This window comes from Homo sapiens, chromosome 3, assembly GCF_000001405.40.
Source record: "Homo sapiens chromosome 3, GRCh38.p14 Primary Assembly".
Taxonomy (NCBI): Eukaryota; Metazoa; Chordata; class Mammalia; order Primates; family Hominidae; genus Homo; species Homo sapiens.
In genome coordinates this window covers 33,534,623-33,559,470 of record NC_000003.12, presented here as the reverse complement: position 1 = coordinate 33,559,470, position 24,848 = coordinate 33,534,623, and the positions used below count along the sequence as shown (strand labels likewise).

General features: G+C 37.3%; 1 protein-coding gene and 1 pseudogene across 81 annotated transcripts in view; one reads left to right on the top strand and one right to left on the bottom strand.

Moving 5' to 3' along the window:
* The window catches only part of CLASP2 (cytoplasmic linker associated protein 2), a 222,010-nt gene that overhangs the window by 158,784 nt on the left and 38,378 nt on the right, over positions 1-24,848 (top strand). For 54 of the 81 annotated variants that reach the window (NM_001375713.1, NM_001400406.1, NM_001365634.1 and 51 more), the window contains 6 exons: positions 86-164; positions 8,076-8,219; positions 14,630-14,773; positions 15,932-16,038; positions 20,529-20,682; positions 24,010-24,238. In NM_001375713.1, the coding sequence (NP_001362642.1) occupies positions 86-164; positions 8,076-8,219; positions 14,630-14,773; positions 15,932-16,038; positions 20,529-20,682; positions 24,010-24,238 (857 nt within the window). Of the gene's footprint in view, positions 1-85; positions 165-295; positions 347-8,075; positions 8,220-14,629; positions 14,774-15,931; positions 16,039-20,528; positions 20,683-24,009; positions 24,239-24,848 lie in introns of all 81 variants that reach the window. The other 27 variants (NM_001375705.1, NM_001365630.1, XM_047447759.1 and 24 more) reach the window with 1 other exon arrangement.
* COX6CP10 (cytochrome c oxidase subunit 6C pseudogene 10) lies at positions 4,482-4,900 on the bottom strand (annotated as a pseudogene).

Sequence of the window (24,848 nt, the reverse complement as noted above, 5' to 3'; positions counted from 1 at the left end):
TTTTGGTATTAAGCATAGTCTTTTGCTGTTACATGCGTACTTGCTAACTAAATTTTTGTTTCGTTTTGCTTTGTTCTTGTTTCAGAGAGTCTTTTCCAAATGATCTTCAGTTCAATATTCTAATGAGATTTACAGTTGATCAGACCCAGACACCAAGCTTAAAGGTAAAACTTTGAGATCTTTTGAAGACATTATAAAGAATTGAAGTATTTATTAATAAAGTTATGTTGATATTTGTATTTCTGTCACATGAGAAGCTGTTCAATCAGTGGGTTTTGTTTTTATAAACTTTCAGACAGTCAAGCCAGCACTTCGGGACCAGCTTCACTCTTTTTGGAGCTCCAAGGTTTTATTGTTTTTGTTTTCATCTGCATTATTTCTTTTCTTAACTCTCTGCAGTGTTTGCATCTGTATTCAACTACTAACCTTTGTAAGCCTTTTACGCATGCACACATTTGATTTCAAATGTTATTTAAATGCAATGCCAGACTCTAAGTCTTTTGGAGAAACTTAATGGTGATACACGTTTGGAAGGCATCACATTATTGCCATCTAACCCTAAGCTGGTAATGCAAACTCACTCTATAAAGTCTTATCTAATTTTATGTTTGTGATTTCCCATTACTTTTTTTTTTTTTAAGTGTCAGGCATTTTAACGGGTATTTTAGGCAAAATGTCAGTTTTGCCTATGTATTAACTAAGCAAAATTTTTTAAATTTAATCTCAGTCCCTTTCTTCAATTATCCTTAACTGAAATAGTAACTTTCTTTTTTTTTCTGATGTATGCATAACATTTGGAGTTATAATTAACTTTCTCGTTTGTTATATACACACATTTTTCAGTTAATATGAAAACTAAATGGATTCCAATTTGTGATTTAAAGTGATTATTAAATTTTACATAAAAGAAAAAATGTAAAAGAATAGCTCCTGAATTCTTTGCTAAAGGTTTTTTTTTTTTAGTGAGTTTTATTAAATGAGATTAAAGTCAGGGAAATAACAAGCATATGTGCTTATACGAGTCCTATATTTTTCTGCTCTATCCTGCACGAAATATATTTCTACAAGCGTTACTGCCCAGGATTGATTTTTCCCTTAAGTTTCTGAATGCAATTGTGCCTCAGAATCACAATTATGTTTCTTATCAGGGCTGACTTTGTAAACCGAAAAGTGTCTGAGACAAGTCTCAATCAATTTAGAGGTTTAGTTTGCCAAGATTGAGGATGCATCCAGGAGAAAGAGACACAAGAAGAAAGCCTGTTCATTCTTCCAGAGAGGGTTTTGAGGACTTTAATATTTAAAAGAGAAAGAGCCAGCTTGAGGGGAAAGAGGAACAGTCAGGCATTCATCTCGTGCTCAGTAAATCTGCATCTTACCTAAGAGAAAGTAAACACAGAGTAGAGGAAGAAGTAAATGTATTTGTCTCTGGGTGAGTGGGGGATGATTTCTAGTCTCATCGTTGTCCTCTACCTGTGAAGATAAACTGTTAATTTACATTGTCAGCATGAGGGAGACCACCTGAAGAACTATGTAGCCTTCTATCTTGCAGCTGTCTGTTTATGAACAAATGGGAGTCAGTTTTCTGAATGACTGAGTTCCCAAGCTTAACTTTCCTTTTGGCATAGGCCGTTTTATTTTCCTTTCACAACTTACACTCAATATAATGTTGTTTTCTTAGAGCTGCTTGGGGAAAGAGATTTCATCTGTTTGATTTTGAAAAGTGACCTGCAGAAGAATAATTTACTTGATATTATTAATAGATATTTTTTAACTCATTTTATGACCAAGGCAGTGTGCTAGGTGTTCCTGGGAATATAAAGCTTGTAATTTTATCATTATTAACTATAATATATAATAAACTCTAAACAGTAATAAAAGTTATGATATAGGTACCTGTAGTGGTGTTCAAGTGCTACTGAAATGTATGTGGAGTTAACTAGGTGTGGTAGTTCATGCCTATAGTCCTAGCTACTCAGGAGGTGAGGCAAGAGGATCGCATGAACCCAGGAGTGAGGTTACAGTGAGCTCTAATCACACCACTGCACTCCAGCCTGGGAGCCTCTTTTTTTAAGAGACAGAGTGAGACCCTGTCCATTGAAAGAGAAAGGAAAGAAAGAAAAAAGTAGATAATATATATAGAGATGTTTCATGAACCAGTGCAAATGAAGGTCTAAACCAGCTTAAGAAGTAAGGGTGAGGCTGGGCACCGTGGCTCACACCTGTAATCCCAGCACTTTGGGAGGCTGAGGCAGGCGGATCACTTGAGGTCAGGAGTTTGAGACCAGCCTGGCCAACATGGAGAAACCCTGTCTCTACTGAAAATACAAAAATTAGCCAGGGGTGATGTTGGGCACCTGTAGTCCCAGCTACTCGGGAGGCTGAGGCAGGAGAATCACTTGAACCGGAGAGGCGGAGGTTGCAGTGAGCCAAAATCATGCCACTGCACTCCAGCTTGGGAGACAGAGTGAGACTTGGTCTCAAAAAAATAAATAAATAAAAATAAGGGGTTGATAGTTGAGTTCAGAGAGAATAAGTTGCAGGAGACTTGAAGAGAAAGACAAAGCGAAGATTGAAATGAGATATGCACAAATTAAAATTAACTTTCCTATTAGAAAACATTATGCTGGAAACTGGAATCACAGATTGTTTCTCTAAAAGCCTAAATTATTTATAAATATGTATTTAATATAGATAATAGATGTATTAGCAAATCCATGAGGGAAAATCACTTTTTGGCTGGGCACGGTGGCTCACGCCTGTGATCCCAGCACTTTGGGAGGCCAAGGTAGGTGGATCATCTGAGGTCAGTAGTTTGTGACCAGGCTGGCCAGCATGGTGAAACCATGTCTCTACTAAAAATACAAAAAGTTAGCCAGGCGTGGTGGCAGGCATCTGTAATCCCAACTACTCGGGAGGCTGAGGCAGGAGAATCGCTTGAACCCAGGAGGCAGAGGATGCAGTGAGCCGAGTCTGCGCCACTGCCCTCTAGCCTGGATGACAGAGTGAGACTCCGTCTCAAAAAAAAAAAAAAGAAAGAAAGAAAATCACTTTTCAACTCTTACACCAGTGTTTAGAATAGCAGGGAAAAGTTATATTGGAGCCATACTTTATGCCAAAAATAAAACCAGCTTTCAAGTGAGTGACAGGATTAAGTATAAAAAATTTAACAGATTATAGAAAACCACATGTAACTTGAGTATCAGATCTAGAAAATTTTTTTATTGATCTTTCAGATAAATGATGGATGTTTATATAAAATTTTACATCTCTTTCAGAGTGTCATGTGATTACATGTCAAGAGGAAGCAATGGGGGAAATGGCAATACAAAGTGATTTTATTTGAATTAGTAATACTTTAAAGATAAATATAATCTTTGCTGACCTCTTTTTCTGGGTTTCACAAACAATTAAAGAATTTCACATCCTTTAGCAGCTAGATTGTTTTTCCTTCTCTGAAAAAGAATGCATGTTTGCTGTATTAAAATTATAAACTAGGTATAACCTTGTAAAATATCCTAATAAATATACATGTTCAAATGATTATATATGTATTGTGGTTATGTTGCCTATTAGTATAGTAAACACATACATTCTGTGAAACCCTTGTAAAATTTTGCATGACGATAAATTGCTAAGGCACTGCACTAGTTGAATCTCACATAGTGTAAATAAATATATTCAGTTATTGATGGTGGCAAATTATAAACAAAATACATTGATGTTCATTTTTTGATTTAACATAGTCACCTTCCAGCTATTCACACTGAGAGAGGATGACATTGCTTTAGGAATTCAGAATATTGGCCAGGGAATGGTGGCTTATGCCTGTAATCCCACCACTTTGGGAGACCAAGGTGGGCAGATCACCAGAGCCCAGCAGTTCGAGACTAGCCTGGGCAACATGGCAAAACCCCATCTCTACAAAAAATTTTTTTTAATTAGCTGGACGTGGTGGTGCACACCTGTAATCTTATCTACTCGGGAAGCTGAGGTGGGAGGGTCACTTGAGTTGGGATGTCAAGGCTACCAGTGAGCCGAGATGACACCACTGCACTCTACCCTGGGTGACAGAATGAGACCTTATCTCAAAAAAAAAAAAAAAAATCAGAATATTATGTGCTGTCATAATTTAATTGTGCCCGGTATGTTAAAACTAACCAGAAGTCTCTTTTCCTGTCTACTGCACATTTCTGATGGCTAATAGGTCAACTTTTGTTTTTTTGCAATAAATTTATTTAAAGTTATAAATATGTCTTTTAATTGACAAGTAAAAATTCTATATATTTATGGCATATAATGTTTTGATATATGTATGCATTGTGGAATGGCTAAATCAAGTTATTTAACATTTGTATTACCTCATAGGTGTATCTTTTTTTTAGGTAAGAATACATAAAATTCACTCTTTTATCAATTTTCAAATATGCAATATATTGTTCTTAACTGTAGTCACCATGATGTACAGGTCTCTTTTTGTTGTTTTAATTGTTTATTTATCAAGAGAAACTATTTCTTACCCCACATATTCATAATTCATAGTTCAGAAACACAAGTCAGTTACAAACTTCTAGGTCATTCAACCTGAAGAAATTCTTTATATTCCATAATCCCTTTGCACTCTGAAATATACCAGCCTTTCTCATCTCCTCAAAATCTTTCATGGAATCATAATTTCTGTAGAAATCTTCATGTGCCTTCTTTCCTGGTTTAGATACAGCAAACTTATAAAGAGCTGCTACCCCCAGGGATACAATGAATGCTCCTACAATATGAAATTGCAGACACTTGGCCAGAAGGCCGTGCATCTGAGGTTTTATCATAGCACCGGGAGTCATGGTAGTTACTGTCCTTGATAGCTATGTCGGCCTCTACACCAACATCTTCCTGGCTGATGGAGAAATCAAATCTCTTAAACTTATTCCTCCTGTCTAACTGAAATGTGCCCTTTGACCAACATCTCTCCAGTCCCCTGCCCTCTGGTAACCTCCATTTTACTCTCTGTTTCTATAAATTTGACTTTTTACGTGCTGCATGTAAATAAGATCATACAGTATTTGTCTTTCTATGTCTGGCTTATTTCACTTACGGTATTGTCCTCCAGGTTCATCTTCGTTATCACAAATGACAGGATTTCCTTCTTTGTAAGGCTGAATAGTATTCCATTGTGTATATATACCACATTTTCTTTATCTTTACAACCATTGATAGACACTTAGGTTGATTACATTTTTTTTTTTTTTTTTTTGAGACAGTTTCGCTCCTGTTGCCCAGGCTGGAGCGCAGTGGTGTGACCTCGGTTCACTGGAACTCCACCTCCCATGTTCAAGCGATTCTCCTGCTTCAGCCTCCCGAGTAGCTGGGATTACAGGCGCCCACCACCACGCCCGGCTAATTTTTGTATTTTTAGTATAGATGGGGTTTAACTACGTTGGCCCCGGCTGGCCTTGACTTCCTGACATCAGGTGATCCGCCCACCTCAGCCTTTCAAAGTGCTGGGATTACAGGCGTGAGCCACTGCGCCTGGCCGATTCCATATCTTGGTATTATGAGTAATGCTGCAGTGAACATGGGAGTGCAGATGTCACTTCCACGTTCTGATTTCATATCCTTTGGGTATATACCCACTAGTGGAATGCTGGATCATATGGCAGTTCTATTTTTAATTTTTTGAGGAACCTCCATATTATTTTTCATAATGGCAGTACTAATTTACATTTCCACCAGCATTGTGGAAGAGTTTCGTTTTCTCCACATCATCACCAACACATATCTTTCATCTTTTTGATAACAGTCATTCTAACAGGTGTGAGGTGAATATCTCAAATGTGGTTTTAGTTTGCCTTTCCCTGATGAATACTGATATTGATCATTCTTCCATATACCTGTTGGCCATTTGTATGTCTTTCTTTGACAAATGTCTATTCAGATCCTTTGCCCATTTTCTAAATAGTTTATTTGTTTTCTTGCTATTGAGTCATGTGAGTTTCTTATATATTTTGAATGTTAACCACTTATCAGATGTATGGTTTACAGTACAATATTTTCTCCCATTTTGTAGTTGTCTCTTCACTCTGTTGATTGTTTCCTTTGCTATGCAGAAGCTTTTTAGTTTGATGTACTCTCATTTGTCTATTTTTGCTTTTGTTGACTGTGTAAAATTATAAATACTTCTTAAAATTCATTATGAAAGAAAAATGTAATTTTATCTCTTCTTTTTTTTAACTGGAAGTAGGAAGGGAAAAATGTACAAGTGTCAGAACCTTATTTTAATATTTTACTTCCTGTGAATTTATTCAGTATGGCACTTCCCGGAGACCTTATTTCACCTGAGTGACAAAAATGACATTAAAGTCGATAGTAAGGGAAGAAAAAACATAGAAAAACATATTACCTTAAAATTTGACAATTTTTTCTCAAGTTTCAATCATACATTTAAACCTTCCTTATTCTAAGTCAGCAAATTCACATTGAATATGTGTTTAGCATCCTTGCTGTATCCAAGGACTGTGTACTATGTCATATGCTGTTTCTTAAGTGCACAGGTACAACATGGTGACTATAGTTAATAACAATGTATTGTATACTTGAAAATTGCTAATGAGGGGATGTGGAATGGGGAGATGTAGGTCAAAGTATTCAAAGTTGCAGATCTATAGGATGAATAAGTCTAGAGATCTAACAGACAACATGAAGACCATAGTTCATAATATTGTGTTATATTTGGGATTTTTGCTAAAAGAGTAGATTTTAGATGCTCTTGCTACACACAGAAAAGGGGTGACTGAAACGATGGATTCATTGATTTGCTTGACTATGAGAAACGTTTCACTATGTATATGTGTATCAAAACTTGTACACATTAAATATATAAAACTTTAAAATTGAATTTATAAAAAGAGAATTGCCAAGAGAATAGATTTTAAGTGTTCTCACCACAAAAAAATAAGTATATGAGGCATATCTTAATTAGCTCAATTATAACCATTCCACAAATATACATATTTCAAACATCTGCCTTCCATGCACCTACACATCAAGAATTACTGGGAGAATAGGCCGGGCACGGTGGCTCACGCCTGTAATCCCAGCACTTCGGGAGACTGAGGCAGGCGGATCATGAGGTCAGGAGTTCGAGACCAGCATGGCCAACATGGTGAAACCTCGTCTCTACTAAAAACACAAAAATTAGCTGGGTGTAGTGGCGGGCGCCTGTAATTCCGGCTACTTGGGAGGCTGAGGCAGGAGAGCCGTTTGAACCCAGGAGACGGAGGTTTCAGTGAGCCGAGATCGCACCATTACACTCCAGCCTGGGCGACAGGGTGAGATTCTGTCTCAAAAAAAAAAAAAAAAAAAATTATAAACCCACACATAACATTTTTATCCACGTAAGTGTTGTCTTTTCTTCAGTGGTACTTGTATAACTCATTTTTGTGACAGTTCTTTTGGGAGGCATTTCTAACAACTGGTGGACTCATTAAGGAACCTCATCTCATTGTGTGAGTCTGTGTTTTACCAAAAAAAAAAAAAAAAACTATATTGCCCACCTTGATTGCTACCTTGATTTGCCATACCTTATTTCCAAAGCACTTTGGTTCATTTTCCCAAAAACAAAATTACAGAGTTAATAAAGACTAGCTCCCTGTGAGGCTAGCCAAGAGTCAGCCATAAGCTCTGAGGGCTGATTTAAGGAAATGTTTATAATCTTGTCAAGATAGTCTTCAGCAGTTGTTCAAACTTGGGGAATGAAACACCTGGGACCTCGAAGTTCTGATTGTGTGTGAAAAACAAAAATCATCAACACTGTCATATACTTGTACCTCAGGTAGGTAGGTGATTGTAGTATTAATCACCTGGCTGGGCATGATGGCTCATGCCTGTAATCCCAGCCCTTTGGGAGGCCGAGGTGGGAGGATTGCTTGAGGCCAGGAGCGCAAGACCAACCTTGCCAACATAGTAAGACCCTATCTGTATATAAAAAAAAAAATCATCATCATCACCTGATTATTTTTGAAATGTTCTCTAGTGTCTCACAATAACCATCTTTCTGTCCTTTCTCTTTGTGCTTTCCTCTGCAGGTGAAGGTTGCTATCCTTAAATACATAGAAACTCTGGCCAAACAGATGGATCCAGGAGATTTTATAAATTCCAGTGAAACTCGCCTAGCAGTGTCTCGGGTCATCACTTGGACAACAGAACCCAAAAGTTCTGATGTTCGGAAGGTATATTTTAATATGAGGTTTAGAAGATAAATTGGGAAAGCAAGTCAGTTATTATGGATTGCCAGTGAAGGAAGCTAATATTTTCAGGACCTTAGCAATTAGCAGTGAGTTATGAAGAGCTTTTTAAAAAATCTTTAAAATTGTTTCAAATTTTATCCAATTAATGTGAGCATAATTTTCAAACCTAGAATCAAAAGTAGCTGCCTTTACCACAATCCTCCCTCTAATTTTATCACCATTCGGAATATTTCAAATCATTCCCCTTGCATTTACCTATACATTTCAAATGAGAGCTTACACTGTTGTTTGATTTATCAATTTTTAGACTTGTTTTTAATCTATTGATGAATGTAGACATTAGGTATATCCGTCTATTTTGTTAAGTGAGGACCTAGCTTTCTCATACTTTCTGTATCCTTTCTAAGGTATTCATAAACTACTTATGAATCAATTACTAGTTATCAGTAGAAAAGATTTACATTTGACTGTGCAGGTATTCACTTTTATACCAAGTGATTTGCGACTGCTTGCTTTCTTATAGAAACGTTATTTTTCCTGGAGTTGATAATTTGCCTTGCTTTTTCATTTGCCTACTTTTTTTTTTTAAGTATCATAATATTTTCAACATCTCTGCTACATGTGTATGGCTATTATTTTTCATATGCTCAAAAGCATAGATTATTATTTTATTTTCTAGAGAGCTCCTTCTTAGACATTCTGTTGTTTTCTCCAGTTTTGACATGTTTCTCCCCAGGCCTGCTGCACACACGTCTGTCTGGAATTTCTCTTGAGCATCTTCCTGAGACTTATCTTCATCCCTGTTTACTTCTTCTATCTTTTTTTTTTTTTTTTTTTTTTTGAGGCAGTCTCGCTTTTTCACCCAGGCTGGAGCACAGTGGCATGATACTGGCTCACTGCAACCTCCACCTTCCAATTCAAGTGATTCTCATGCCTTAGCCTCCTGAGTAGCTGGGATTACAGGCACCCACCACCACACCCAGCTAATTTTTATATTTTTGGGGTTTCTCCATATTGGACCAAGCTGGTCTCAAACTCCTGTCCTCAAGTGATCTGCCCACCTTAGCCTCCCAAAATGCTGGGATTACAGATGTGAGCCACTGCACCCAGCCTGTTTCTTGCATCTTATATTTACTTCTATTTACTTTCTTTTCTGGTGAATTATTTCCATCAACATTTGCTGCAAAAGGAGTACACATAGGCCGGACGCAGTGGCTCACGCCTGTAATCTCAACATGGTAGGCTGAGGCAGGCAGATTGTCTGAGCTCAGGAGCTTGAGCCCAGCCTGAGCAACGTGGAGAAACCCTGTCTCTGCTAAAAATAAAAAAAAATTGGGTGCATTGGCATGCACCTGTAGCCCCAGCTACCTGGGAGGCTAAGGTGGAAGGATCACTTGAGCCCAGGAGGTCGAGGATGCAATGAGACAAGATCATGCCACTGCACTCCAGCCTGGGTGACAGAGTGAGACCTTATCTTAAAAAAAAAAAAAAGAAAAAAAGTACACAGAATATACATTTTTTGTGATCTTTATTTCCAGTGATGAGCACTGCACCTAACAACAGCAGAATATTCTTCTCAACTACACTAGGAACATTCTGCACGCTAGGCCATGAAACCTCAATAGATTAAAATGATAGAATGAATACACAGTATGTTCTCTGACCACAATAGAATGAAATTAGAGTCAATAATAGAAAGGTATTTAGAAAACCCACAAACAGCTCACTCTTAAATAGTCAGTGGGCCGAAGAGGAAATCAAAAGAGAAATAAGAAAATACACTAAGAAATACATTGAGATGAATGAAAATGAAGACATGGCATACCAAAATGTATGGGATAAAGCTCAAGCAATGCTTCTAGGGAAATTTATAGCTGTTAATGCCTACAATAAAAAGAAAGCTCTCAAATCAGTAATCGATTCACCACCATAAGACACTGGAAAAAGAAAAGCATACTAAACCTGAAGACAGCAAAAGGAAGGATGTAATCAAGATTAAAGCAAAAGTTAATGAAATAGAGACTGGGAAAACCAGTGAAACCAAAAGCTGGTTCTTTGGAAAGATCAACAAAATTGACAAACCTTTAGCTAAACATATCAGGGTAAAAAGAGAAAACATTCAAATTACTGGAATTACAAATGTGCTGGGTGTGGTGGCACACACCTGTAATCCCAACACCTGGGTGTGGTGGCTCACACCTGTAATCCCAAGGTGGGAGGATCACTTGAGGCTGGGAGTCTGAGACCAGACTGGGCAATATGACAAGACCTCATCTATGCAAAAAAAGAAAATTCAAAATTAGGTGGGTATGGTGGTGCATGCCTGTAGTCCCAGATACTCAAGAGACTGAAGCAGGAAGATCACTAGAGCCAAGGAGTTCAAGGGTGCAGTGAGCTATGATCATGCTGCTCTACTCCAGCCTGGATGATAGTGAGACTCCCAACTCAAAAAAAAAAAAAAAAAAAAAAAGAAATGAAACCGTAGTCGTTACCTATTGTGGCAGGAAATCACTAGAAAATGTCTCAAGCTGATAATGAAGAGATAATTGTATAAGCCTGTCAATCCTATCAGTAAAAACAAGCATTACAAAAGGGAACTCTGGAGAGCTGAAAAAGGGAATTAAGATTTATAAAATGATGGCTGGGCACAGTGGCTAACGCCTGTAATTCCAGCACTTTGGGAAACAGGCGGGTGGATCATGAGGTCAGGAGATCAAGACCATCCTGGCTAACATGGTGAAACCCTGTCTCTACTAAAAATATGAAAAATTAGCTGAGTGTGGTGGCACGCACCTGCAGTCCCAGCTACTCAGGAGGCTGAGGCAGGAGAATGGCTTGAACCTGGGAGGCAGAGGTTGTAGTGAGCCGAGATTGCGCCACTGCACTCCAGCCCGGGCAACAGAGGGAGACTCTGTCTCAAAAAAATAAAAATAAAAATAAAAAATTATAAAACATTTTCTAAAACTTTTTTTAAAAATCTGTAAGTATTTGATTTAAAGACTTAAAAATTATTTTAACTACTGAGCTTATAAAAAAACTTAGATGAAATGGACAAATTCCTAGAAAAATACAAACTACCAAAACTGACTGAAGAAGAAATAGATAGCATGAATAGAACTATAACAGGAAATTGATCTAGTATTCAAAAACTATGCACAAGCCAGGCACGGTGGCTCACACCTGTAATCCCAGCACTTTAGGAGGCTGAGGCAGGTGGATTGCCTGAGCCCAGAAGAGACCAGCCTGGGTAACATGGTGAAACCCTGTCTATACAAAAATTAATTGAGTGTGGTGGCATACACCTGTAGTCCCAGCTACTCAGGAGGCTGAGGTAGGAGGATCATTTGAGTCTGGGAGGTCGATGCTGCAGTGAACTGTGATTACACCACTGCACTCCAGCCCGAGTGACAGAGCAGCACCCCATCTCAAAAAAAAAAAAAAAATACATAAAATAAAACTGCACAAAGAAAAGCCCAGGCTCAGATGGCGTCACTGGTGGTAAATTCCACCAAACAATTAATATCAATTCTTCACACATTCTTCCAAACAAACAGAAGAGGAAGGAACACTTCCCAGTTTATTCTATGAGACCAGTTTTATTCTGATACCAAAACTAGACAGAGACATCGCACATCAAAAAAGACACTACAGACCAGCATCTCTTTATGAATATGAATGCCTTAATCTTCAACAAAATGCTGGCAAGCCAAATTTAGCAACATATGTAAAAGAAGTATATACCATGACTGTATTAGTTCATTTTCATGCTGCTGATAAAGACATACTTGAGACTGGGCAATTTACAAAATAAAGGTTTAATTGAACTTACAGTTTCATGTGGCTCAGGAAGCCTCACAATCATGGCAGAAGTCAAGGAAGAGCAAATAATGTCTTACATGGATGTCAGCAGGCAGAGAGGGAGAATGAGCCAAGTGAAATGGGTTTCCCCTTATCAAATCATCAGATCTCATGAGACTTATTCACTACCACAAGAACAGTGTGGCAGAAACCACCCCCATGATTCAGTTATCTCCCACCAGTCCCTCCAACACGTGGGAATTATGGGAGTATAATTCAAGATGAGATTTGTGTGGGGACACAGAGCCAAACCATATCAATGACCAAGAGGGATTTATCCCAGGAATGTAAGGTTAGATTAACATCCAAAAATCTATTAATGTAGTAGACCATATCAATAGTAAAAATACAAAAACCACATAATCATCTCAATAGATACAGGAAAATAAAACACTTAAAACAGGAATAAATCTTCATGAACTCCGATTTGGCAGTGGATTCTTGGATATGGTATCAGAAGCTTAGGCAACAAATGGAAAAACAGATAAGTTGGATTTCATCAAAATTTAAATTTTGCAGTATTCCAAGAACAAGAATACTGATGTGACTGTAGAAATTATTGGCACATTTTTAACTCACAGAGTAATATGATTTATGTTTTTAAAGATTATGCTGTCTGATGTGACAAAAATGGGCTAGTATAAGGGAGAAGAAAGAAGAAAGGTAGAGCTGATGTTGAAAGGAACCTAAGTCCTCATCTATTGTAAGAAATCACTAGAAAATGTCTCAAGCTGATAAATGAAGAAATAATTTTATAAGCCTATGAATCCTATCAGTAAAAACAAGCATTACAAAAGGGAACTCTGGAGACCTGAACAATGGAATTGAGATTTATAAAACCTTTTGTAAAACTGGTTTTTTAAAATCTGTATGTATGTATTACTTTGATAGACTTCAAAAATTATTTTAAAAGAAATATGAAATCTAGTAAAACAAATATGACATTAGGAAATTTAAAACCGCAAGAAAGGAAGGATATGATCGAAATATACTAACGGTATAGTATTTTAAGTCATGTGGTGTTAGTACAGAAATAGACAAATAGATCAATGGAACATGAAGGAAGGTCCAGAGATACTTAGGTTTATATAGGAGATTAGTTCATTATACAGGTGTCACTTCAAGTCATGAGGAAAGGATATACTCATTGGTAAATGGTTTGGGAGCAATTGGGATGTCTGTCCCTACAGGGGAAATAAAGCTGAATCTCCAAACCAAAGTAAACTAGATGGAATAAAGTATATATTAACAATTACTAGTTCATTTGCTCAAGTTTACTTGTGGTCCATTCAATGTGGTGGTTCCAAAAAAAAGTATGAGATCGTAACTTTTGTTTTCAAACTGCAAATATTAATAGCTTTATTTAAGCACTATTAACATGTTAGATACCCAGAGTATATACCCACACAACTTACACTTCTTTGTTTTTAACAAAATGTGCTCATAACACTCTTTTTTTTTTTTTTCCTTTTAAGTCTCACTTTGTCTCCCAGGCTGGAGTGCAGTGGCATGATCTCTGCTCACTGCAACTTCTGCCTCCCAGGTTCAAGAGATCCTCTGGCCTCAGCCTCCCAGGTAGCTGGGATTACAAGCACACACCACCACACCCGGCTAGTTTTTGTATTTTTAGTAGAGACGGGGATTCATCATGTTAGCCAGACTGGTCTCGAACTCCTGACCTCAAGTGATCCACCTGCCTTTGCCTCCCAAAGTGCAGTGTGAGCCACTGCACTTGGCCTGTTACAGCAGTCTTATAGTTTTTCTTCAGCAGTGTATAATAGACCTTTCTCAATTTCTACATTGAGAGCTGTATCATCTTCCAAGATTGTGTTGTATAGTATTCCATTGTTCCAAAGTAACATAATTTAACCATTCCCCCTAGTGTTGTATATTCAGGTGTATTTTTCATAGAGTGGGTTCAGAAAAGTCCAAAATGAAGTGTGCAGATTTGGATACAAGTCATGTGATCATAAATGATTTGAGTTTCTCTCTCCTTAATTAAGTCTCTATATAATTTGAATTTCAAAGTTTGTCTTTTAGTAATGCAGTTGATTACTTCAGAAGCGGAGAAGAATTGTATAACTTTTCTTGACTGATCTGAGTAAGCTTTATTTTGTTCCCATTTCCACAGAACGGACTTACTTTAGCTTCAAATTGTAGAGTTGTTTAGTTAACTGCTTGTGAGAAGATTAGATATTATTTCTCCTTGTAATCGTTTATTAGGAAAACTAAAATACTGTAGTAGTATGTAACAGAGTAACCCTGGAAACCGTCATGGTTAACTTTTCCATTGTCTGTTAGGTCATATTTGTTATGCTTTTCATATTCCCTTCTTACCTTAAAAAAAAAAAAGGTAGGTCAATATTTTTTTTTTATCCTTCCAGCAAAACAGTTTGAAAGCAAATAAGAATATCTTCCTTTTCCCTGGGAAAGATGGTCAAGCTTCGTGCTATTGAACAGAAATGTAGGGGAAGAAAACGGTCTTGTTTGAGTAACAAAAATATATTCATCTACTGTATGCCTTTGTTTTTTAGGCAGCACAGTCAGTGCTGATTTCATTATTTGAACTCAATACCCCAGAGTTTACAATGTTATTAGGAGCTTTACCAAAAACTTTTCAGGATGGTGCTACCAAGCTTCTTCATAATCACCTTCGAAACACTGGCAATGGAACCCAGGTAATTGTTACTTATTTTCTTGGCTATCATATAATGTGATGGTTGATTTAATAATAATTGCTTTCTTTTATACGAAGTAAACTTGATCCTTAATATATAATTTTTGCATCTTTATTTGGCAGCATTTCCTGAGCAGAATTAAATATTGTCTTGGAAAGAACAGAGTCCCTATTCCTGTCCTGTTTATATTATATTATAATTTGTGTGCATTAGGATAGTGGTAAACAGTGGCCAGGTATGAACAAGAAAAGCAAAACGTGAGCAAAACATAGATGAGAGCACCAGCTGGAAGCCATTAGAATCAGGACATGCTCTTTAGATGAATCAATTCTTATTTGAGGACTAACAAGGATGACTTATTCCAGGGTTAACAAATAAGATTCAAAGGAGGTAGTGCTTTAAGAAGTGTGGTCACATTAAATGATCACAGGCTTGTCAGTCCATTTATACTTGGATGTGCAGGAATTTGTTTTGAAGAAGTAAGTTCTGAGTAAATGAAACATTGAAATATGTATATTTGTGTGTTTGTGTATACATATATATATTTTTTACTGGTATGAAATAACTTACATTATATGCCTAAAGAATTGAACTGAAGCATTAAAAAGAAAGACATTTAATGGCAAATAAAGGAGACACACTGATGGCAGGCTTAAGGTAAAGTCTGAGGAGGGTTAAAAGTAATTCTAAAACAATTTCTTGTGAACCAGAGTCAGTCATCTTTTTAAAAGGAGTAGGGATTATTTCATCATATCTTAAGAATAGACATATTAATAGTATGACAAGATTTAACTCCCTTGGTGTAAAGCAAAGTCAAGGAGGGATAAAATTTGAGCATTAGTAATGGTTAGAAGAAGGAAATTAGCTCAGAACAGGAAGCTAATTTAAAATTACATTCAATCCTTGAGGGAAATGATGTTGATAATATTTGAGAGCAGGAAGCAGGTGAGAACAGAAAAAGACTAAAGAGTTACATTCCTAAGTAGGGAGAAATTTTCCCCCTGGAAACCAGACGTAAGTACATGAATATTTAAAATATTGACCTGTAAATATGGCCCTTTAATATGGTTCAACCTAATGTTTGTGTGGCTTCCTTAAGAGTTTTTTTAAGTGAACTTACCTGTAATATGTTAATATTTCTTTGACTCCCTTCATCAGAGTTCCATGGGGAGTCCTTTGACAAGACCAACACCACGATCACCAGCTAACTGGTCCAGTCCTCTTACTTCTCCTACCAATACATCACAGAATACTTTATCTCCAAGGTAATAAAAGGATGATTTTTCATGATGGTTTGTATTTGTAAATTCCCATTCTTTCTTTTTGAGACAGAGTCTTGCTCTGTCGCCCAGGCTGGAGTGTGGTGGTGTGATCTCAACTCACTGCAACCTCTACCTCCCAGGTTCAAGCAGTTCTCCTGCCTCAGTCTCCCAAGTAGCTGGGCTTACAGGTGCATGCCACCACACCCCGCTGATTTTTGTATTTTTGCTAGAGACAGGGTTTCACCATGTTGGCCAGGCCGGTCACAAACTCCTGACCTTAGGTGATCTGCCCGCCTCGGCCTCCCAAAATGCTGGGATTACAGGCGTGAGGTACCACCCTTGGCTGTAAATTCCATTCTTAAAAAAGCAAGCACTAATATAATTCAAGTCAGTTCCCACTTGACTTGAAAGGTCTTAGAAAAGTAGAAACTTAGCAAATGAAAAAAATTTTATTTGAAAGCCAACTACTTAAATGATAATATATAGGATATGGAATTTTTTAATAAGTGGAAAGAAAACCTGACAGCCTTTTTAAATAAATTACTGCTTATTACATTAAATGGCATAGTTATATTTCTCAGAGATGCTGTATAAATCCAGTAAATTGCAAACTATGTCTTTCAATTACATTATACTACTCAGTATAAGTGGTGATGAGGTCAGTTATAATGATGAGTTTAAAAAATTAAGCTTGCAAACAAAACATATAAATAACAAATAGGGGAGTGTTAAATATATAATGAATATATGACATTATATATGTATCATATATAATGAATTACATATATGTCATATATAATGAATTACATATATAACATGTCATATATCATAAATATGACATTAGGTCATACTATGGTTTTCATATTCAGAATGATGTATTTCATATTCAGAATGATTATAACAGAATGATTTATATTCATATATATTTATTACATTTTTATATAATTAACCCTGTTTTTATATTTATTATATATTTAACCCTTCCCTATTTGTTATTTTTATGTTTTGTCTGTAAGCTTAATTTTTTTCATTATATATGTAATGAATCATAGTTATTATAATTCATTACATATATATGTAATTCATTATATATATAATGATATATGAATTATATATATAAACATATATAATAAGTAAATAGTGAATATATACCTCTGAGGAAAAAATATGACTGACTGAGAGATTGGTCCTTAATGCAAAATAAAAGATGTGTACAATTTTCACACACTTGTATGATTCAAGCATGAGCTAGATTTCAAATGACATTCTTGACTGCTTAGTAGACTAAAATTTTATTTCCTTTTCCTAGCCTTTTGGAAAATTATTTGCATAGAAGTTCAGCATCACTGATCATCAGAGAAATGCAAATCAAGCCCACAGTGAGATACCATCTCACACCAGTCAGAATGGTTATTATTAAAATGTCAAAAAATAACAGATGCTGGCAAGGTTGTGGAGAAAAAGGAACACTTTTACACTATTGGTGGGAGTGTAAATTAGTTGAACTATTGTGGAAGATAGTGTGGCAATTCCTCAAAGACCTAGAGACAGAAATATAATTTGAGCCAGCAATCCCACTACTGGGTATATACCCAAAGGAATATAAATCATTCTGTTATAAAGATACATGCACATGTATGTGCACTGCAGCACTGTTCACAATAGCAAAGACATGGAATCAACCTAAATGCCTATCAGTGATAGACTGGATAAAGAAAATGTGGTATCTATACACCATGGAATACTATGTGGCCATAAAAACAGAATAAGATCATGTCCTTTGCAGAGACATAGATGGAGCTGGAGACTGTTATCCTTAGCAGACTAACACAAGAACAACAACAAAAAAATACTGCATGTTCTCACTTACAAGTAGGAGCTAAATGATGAAAACACATGAACACATAGAGGGGAACAAAACACACTGGGGCCTACCAGAGGGCAGAGGGTAGGAGGAGGGAGAGGATCAGGAAAAATAATTAATGGACACTAGGCTTAATACCTGGGTGATAAAATAATCTATACAACCAAACCCCCATGACACACGTTTGCCTATGTAACAAGTCTGCACATCCTGAACACATACCCCTGAACTTAAAAGTTTTTTTAAGAAGGAGTTGGGGCTGGCTGTGGTGTATTCCGTGGTGTATAGATACCACATTTTCTTTATCCAGTCTATCACTGATGGGCATTTAGGTTGATTCCATGTCTTTGCTATTGTGAATAGTGCTACAGTGCACATACATGTGCATGTGTCTTTATAACAGAAAGATTTGTATTCCTTTGGGTATATACCCAGTAGTGGGATTGCTGGCTCAAATGATATTTCTGTCTCTAGGTCTTTGAGGAATTGCCACACTATCTTCCACAATAATTCATTCACACCTGTAATCCCAGCACTTTGGGAGGCAGAGGTGGGCAGATCACTTGAGGTCAGGAGTTCGAGACCAGCCTGACCAACATGGCAAAACCCCATCTCTACTAATAGTACAAAAATTAGCCGAGTGTGGTGGTGCATGCCGGTAGTTCCAGCTACTCAGGAGGATGAGGCAGGAAAATCACTTGAACCCAGGAGGCAGAGGTTGCAGTGAGCTGATGTCGTGCTACCGCACTCCAGCCTAAGTCACAGAGCAAGGCTCCGTCTCAAAAAAAAAAAAAAAAGAGTTGGTATTTATAGTTAATAGCTTGATTTTTGTCATTAGCCATATATTATAGTGTGCTTCATCAAGTTATTCATTAACATTATTGGATAATACATCAACATCTAAGAAAAATATATTGCAAACATTTCCTAGCCTATTTTTTCCATGTTCTACATATATGATAAATTTGGTAGCTAAATTCCAGCTTCAGTTGAATTTCAGCATTTGATTTTAAAGTTCATGTCTATAACATATAGAGCAGAATGGCTCACACTTGCAATCCTAGCACTTTGGGAGGCCAAGGCAGGAGGATCACTTGAGGCCAGCAGTTTGGGACAAACCTGGGCAACATATTGAGACCCCATCTCTACAAAAAAAAATTTTTTTAAATCAGCCTAGCATGGTGGTGTGTGTTTGTAGTCCTAGCAACTTGATAGGCTGATGCAGGATGATTATTTAAGCCTAGGAGTTCAAGGCTGCAGTAAGCTATGTTTGCACCACTGCACTCCAGTCTGGGCAGCAGCAAGACCCTGTCCCTTAAAAAAAAAAAAAAAAAAAAAATTTGGCCAGTCACAGTGGCTCATGCGTGTAATCGCAACACTTTGGGAGGCCAAGGTGGGCAGATCACCTGAGGTCAGGAGTTCGAGACCAGCCTAGTCAACATGGTGAAACCCCATCTCTACTAAAAATACAAAAAATTAGCCTGATGTGGTGGCAGGAGCCTGTAATCCCAGCTACTCGGGAGGCTGAGGTGAGGCTGAGGCTGGAGAATCGCTTGAGCCTGAGAGGTAGAGGTTGCAGTGAGCCAAGGTTGCGCCATTGCACTCCAGCCTGGGCAACAAGAGTGAAACTCCATCTCAAAAAAAAAAAAAAAATTATATTCAGTATTAAAAATCCTCTATCTTCTTACAAATTTGTGTTAAAATACATTTATCTCTTTGTCAAGCAGTACCATTACTGGGAGTTGATCACAGAGATTGATAAACTTTCTGTAAAGGGTCAGGTAGTAAATATTTTAGGCTGTTTGAGTCATGGTCTTAGAGTCTCTTCTCAACTCTGCTATTGTATGAAAACAGCCATCAACAATAGAAATAGAAAACAGCCATAGACAATACCTAAATAAATAGGCACGACTATGTTTAATAAAATTTTATTTATGGGCTGGGCGCAGTGGCTCACGCCTGTAATCCCAGCACTTTGGGAGGCCGAGGTGGGCGGATCACCTGAGGTCAGGAGTTCGAGACCAGCCTGCACAACATGGTGAAACCCCATCTTTACTAAAAATACAAAAATTAGCCAGGTGTGGTGGCCGGCGCCTGTAATCCCAGCTACTCGGGAGGCTGAGGCAGGAGAATCAGTTGAACTCGGGAGGCAGAGGTTGCAGTGAGCTGAGATCACGCCATCACATTCCAGCCTGGGGGAGAAGAGTGAGATTTCGTCTCCAAAAAAAAAGAAAAAATTTATTTATGGACACTGACATTTAAATTTTATCTAATTTTCATGATTTTTTTTGTTTTTTTCCAATCTTTTAAAAATGTGAAAAACGTTCTTAGCTTACAAGCCATCCATAGTTTGTTGACCTCTGGTTAATCAGAACATTTTTCAAGGTGGAAAGACAAACTAGTTATTAAGGTCTGTGCATTCTAGAGTAACTGTAAGGTGTCCTTGGTGGAAGGACAAAGAGACATGTACTTTAATGATATATAGCTGCTATTTTTTATTTTGCTAATTATGCTCTGAGAATATACATTCTCTAATCCTGTCTTTATAAATATCCTTATATAATCTCCTCAGATGTGTTTGTATTTTAAAACTACACCTAAGTAAAAATTAGTGTCGTCTTTTTCATAGTGCATTTGATTATGACACAGAAAATATGAACTCTGAAGATATTTATAGCTCTCTTAGAGGTGTCACTGAAGCAATCCAGAATTTCAGCTTCCGTAGCCAAGAAGATATGAATGAGCCATTGAAAAGGGATTCTAAAAAAGATGATGGCGATTCAGTAAGTATTTTAATATCCTTACTTTCCAGACTATTTTATTGTTCATTAATAATTTTTTAAATTACATTTTGCTTTCTGTCATTTTTGAATATACTTTTCTAGGGATCAGTCACTCTACAAGTATTTACTGAGTATCTACCACATACCAGGCACTGTTTGAGGCATTAGATTTATACAACAAAATCACTGCCTTCAAATTCCTTTTAGATTTTCATATAGAGATGAGTATTATAGAGTTTTAGGATAGAATGTGCTTTAGAGGAAAGTGAATCTTAGATTGTGTGGTCTAAGATGCATTAGATTTATACGACAAAATCACTGCCTTCAAATTTCCTTTTAGATTTTTCATATAGAGATGAGTACTACAGAGTTTTAGGATAGAATGTGCTTTGGAGGAAAGTGAGTCTATTTTAGATTGTGTGGTCCAAGAAGGCCTCACTCCAAAGGTAGCATTTGCATTGAAACCTAAATAAAGCCACATAAAATCTAGAGGAGAATTCCTTGAAATAATTAGCAAATCCAAAGACATTTAGATGGGAACAAGCTTTGTATAGTTGAGGACTAGGAAGAAAACCAGTGTAGTTGGACCATTGTGAGAGAAAAGGAGTGGAACATGGGCCAGATCACATTGAGTCTTTTTTTTTTTTTGAGACGGAGTCTCGCTCTGTCGCCCAGGCTGGAGTGCAGTGGCGCAATCTCGGCTCACTGCAAGCTCTGCCTTCCGGGTTCACGCCATTCTCCTGCCTCAGCCTCCTGAGTAGCTGGGACTACAGGCGCCCGCCACCATGCCCGGCTAATTTGTTGTATTTTTAGCAGAGATGAGGTTTCACCGTGTTAGCCAGGATGGTCTCGATCTCCTGACCTTGTGATCTGCCCACCTCGGCCTCCCAAAGTGCTGGGATTACAGGTGTGAGCCACTGCGCCCGACCCACATTGAGTCTTGTAAGAACACATAAGGAGTTTAGAGTTTTTTTTGCCTGTTAGGTGTAGTGATAGTAATTTGCATTGTCAGTTTATGCGGCTACAGTTAAGAATGTGTTTTGTTTTGTTTTGTTTTTTTAATAATGTGGCAAATGTTTTATTTCTCTTGTATGCAAGTAACTGACTCTCAAGTATTTTTAAAAACACATCATTACACTTAAGTAAGAATGTTATAACCTACAACATTCTTACATATTTAATATTATTGACATATTTGAATATTGTTTATTGCTTCTGCCATTATACACAGAATAGTTTTTTACTTTCCTGCTTCTTAGACTTTTCTCTGACAGCTTAGACTTTTCACAAAATGAGCCATCCCACCAGTTCCTGTGGAATTCATTGTTTCTCAGTGTTTGCAAAGTTACAGAACATTGTAGTGCTTCAGCACATCTCCAAAGGGCTCCTTCCTCTGCCTTCCTGCCATCTTTCCTGCTGTTGTTTTTCTCACTGTGCCTATCTGGCAGAGCAAGATTGTGGTGAGCCTAGTATACTGGCTGCCAAAACCAGCTTATCACTGATATTTGAGGTTCCCTACCCTTCAAAGCTGCATGTGGTAGCAATAACAGATTAGTAGGAATCACTGCTTCATTGAGACTCAGTTTTTTTTTTGGTTTTTTAGACACAGCATGGTACAGGGTAGGGAACTCAAATTGTGAATTTTGGGAAATGAGTTCAAATCCCGGTTCCTGGCAGTTATTAGCTAATCAGGTGATCACCTCTAAGCTTCAATGTCTTCATTAAGAAAATAGGGATATCACTGCTTACCTTAAAAGTTGTTGTAAGTATAATAAATCCTATGACTCTATTCAGCTCAGACCTCTTTCCTGAGTTCCACATTCACATTCAGCTGCCTGTTTGAACTCCTGGTCTTCTCCCCTAAAGCTGCTCTTTCCTATCTTAGTTAATGGCAACCCTAGTTGCCTAGCCAAAATCCATGGACAAGAGTTGTTGAGACCTCTGTTTTTCTCATCCTCCATACCAAATCTGTCAGGAAATCTTTTGTCTCCACTGCAGAATGTATCCAGAATTCAGCCTATTCTCACCACTGCCTTTCTGGTTTGAGCCATCATCTTCATCATTTCTCTCACCTGGATTATTAAAATTTGGCCTCCTTGATTATGCCCTTGACCTCCTATAGTCCACTCTCACTCTCACTCAACTCTATAGGAGGTCTCTGTCTCAGAGTAAAAACCAAAGTCTATACAATAGGCTTTTTTTCTGTTACCTCTCTGGCCTCATCTCCTGCTAGTTTCCTCCTTGTTCACTCTGCTCCTGCCACACTGGCCTCCTTGCTATTCCTTGAACTTACTATGCACGTTCCTGCTTCAGGATCTGTGTATTGGCTGTTTTCTCTACCTGAAACACTCTACCTCCAGATAGCCCCTTGGCTGATTCCCTTACTTCCTTCAAGTGTTTATTCAAGTGGCTTCTCAGTGAACCCTACTCATCCTATTTAATCTGTGAACTCCATCCTCCCACCTCAGCATTCATGATTCCTTCTTCTAACATGTCGTATACTTTATTCGTTCATTAAGTTTTTTTTTTTTTTGGTCTGTCCCTCCACTAAAATATAAACTCCACTGGGGTAGGCATCGTTCTCTCTTTTGCTCACTGATGTATTCCCAATGCTGTGAACAATGCCAGGCATATAATATGTGCATAGTAAATATTTTAAGAATATTTGTAAAGTGCCTAGCAAATGGCTTGGCACATAGTTGCCCAGTGGATGGTGGTGATGCTGATACCCATGGTAGTAATTATTTTGATACCAGTATTTGTATCAATATTCATATTCATATTTTGATAAGTATGTACCCAAATTCTTTTGGCATCCTTCCAAAAGTTATGCAGGCCTTTTAAGCCTTTCTTTTTTTTTTTTTTCTCCTTAAAGCAAGCCTTTTTAAATTTGATTTTATTATGCTTTTTTGACATACTGTTGTATGATATACCATTACCTTAATAATGGAATCTGGCAGCTTGTAGTACTGTATTGCTTATGAAAGTTCTTTTGTATCTTTAACTGACATGGAGAAGTTGCTGGTAATCACACTGTACATATTGTCTGGTCAAGTTGTTTGCAAGGGAACTGTAATAATCATTAGAGGCAGCATTCTTTTACAGTTCTTATTTGCCTTCACAGCTGTAGTTTATATTTTTAAGCTTTGACGTCTGGAATATAAATTGTAACTCATAATGTTGATTGCCATTACTTAAATTTTTTAGCTGGTTATTGTTATCTTTTTAAAATTGTCTTTTAAGCAGTAGAGAAATATCTTTTTAGAATGTTAAATAGATACTTGAAAAATGAGTTAATTTGCTGTGGCTTTCACTTCCCATTGATAGATGTGTGGTGGTCCTGGGATGTCTGACCCAAGAGCAGGAGGTGATGCTACTGACTCAAGTCAAACAGCTCTTGATAATAAAGCTTCATTGCTCCATTCAATGCCTACTCACTCCTCTCCACGCTCTCGAGACTATAATCCATATAACTATTCAGATAGCATCAGTCCCTTCAACAAGTCTGCCCTCAAGGAAGCCATGTTTGATGATGATGCTGACCAGTTTCCTGACGGTATGTTCTGGGTCACACTGCTACTGTCTGTTTTGGAGAACTTGGTAATTGATGAAGTAAAAGAAATGCATATGCTTTTTTATTATAACTCCCAAAAAGTAACAATTTTTAGAATAAGAATGTTTTCTCCCATCTTCTAGGAACTCATCTCTAGTGCTTTGGTCATTTTCTTCTCCTGAATGAGAAACAGGGTAGTCATCTTGAGATCATGATCAAAATCAAGAAAACCTTAGTTACCACCCAGAAATAACTAAAACCAATTGTAGCTTATAAATTTACTTTACCTCTAGACACAATTTATTTGGTCATTAATTTTTATACCACGATGACAAAACCTTTGAAGAAATACCCATTCTTTATAGTAGCCCTTTAAGCATGAAGTCATAAACTTTTTTATTAATAAAATACATTTCAAGGACGAAATATAAGGAAAGTTACCATTAGGATTTGAATTTGGGTGAAATGGGCTTAGTTCTAAGCTCTAACACTTACTAAGCTGCATAGCCTGGCAAGATGGTTAACTTTCCCGAGTCTCAGTTATCACCTCCAAAAGAGGATGATGATGATTATACTACCTAATCCCAGTGTGCAGTAAGATGCAGGTAAGTTG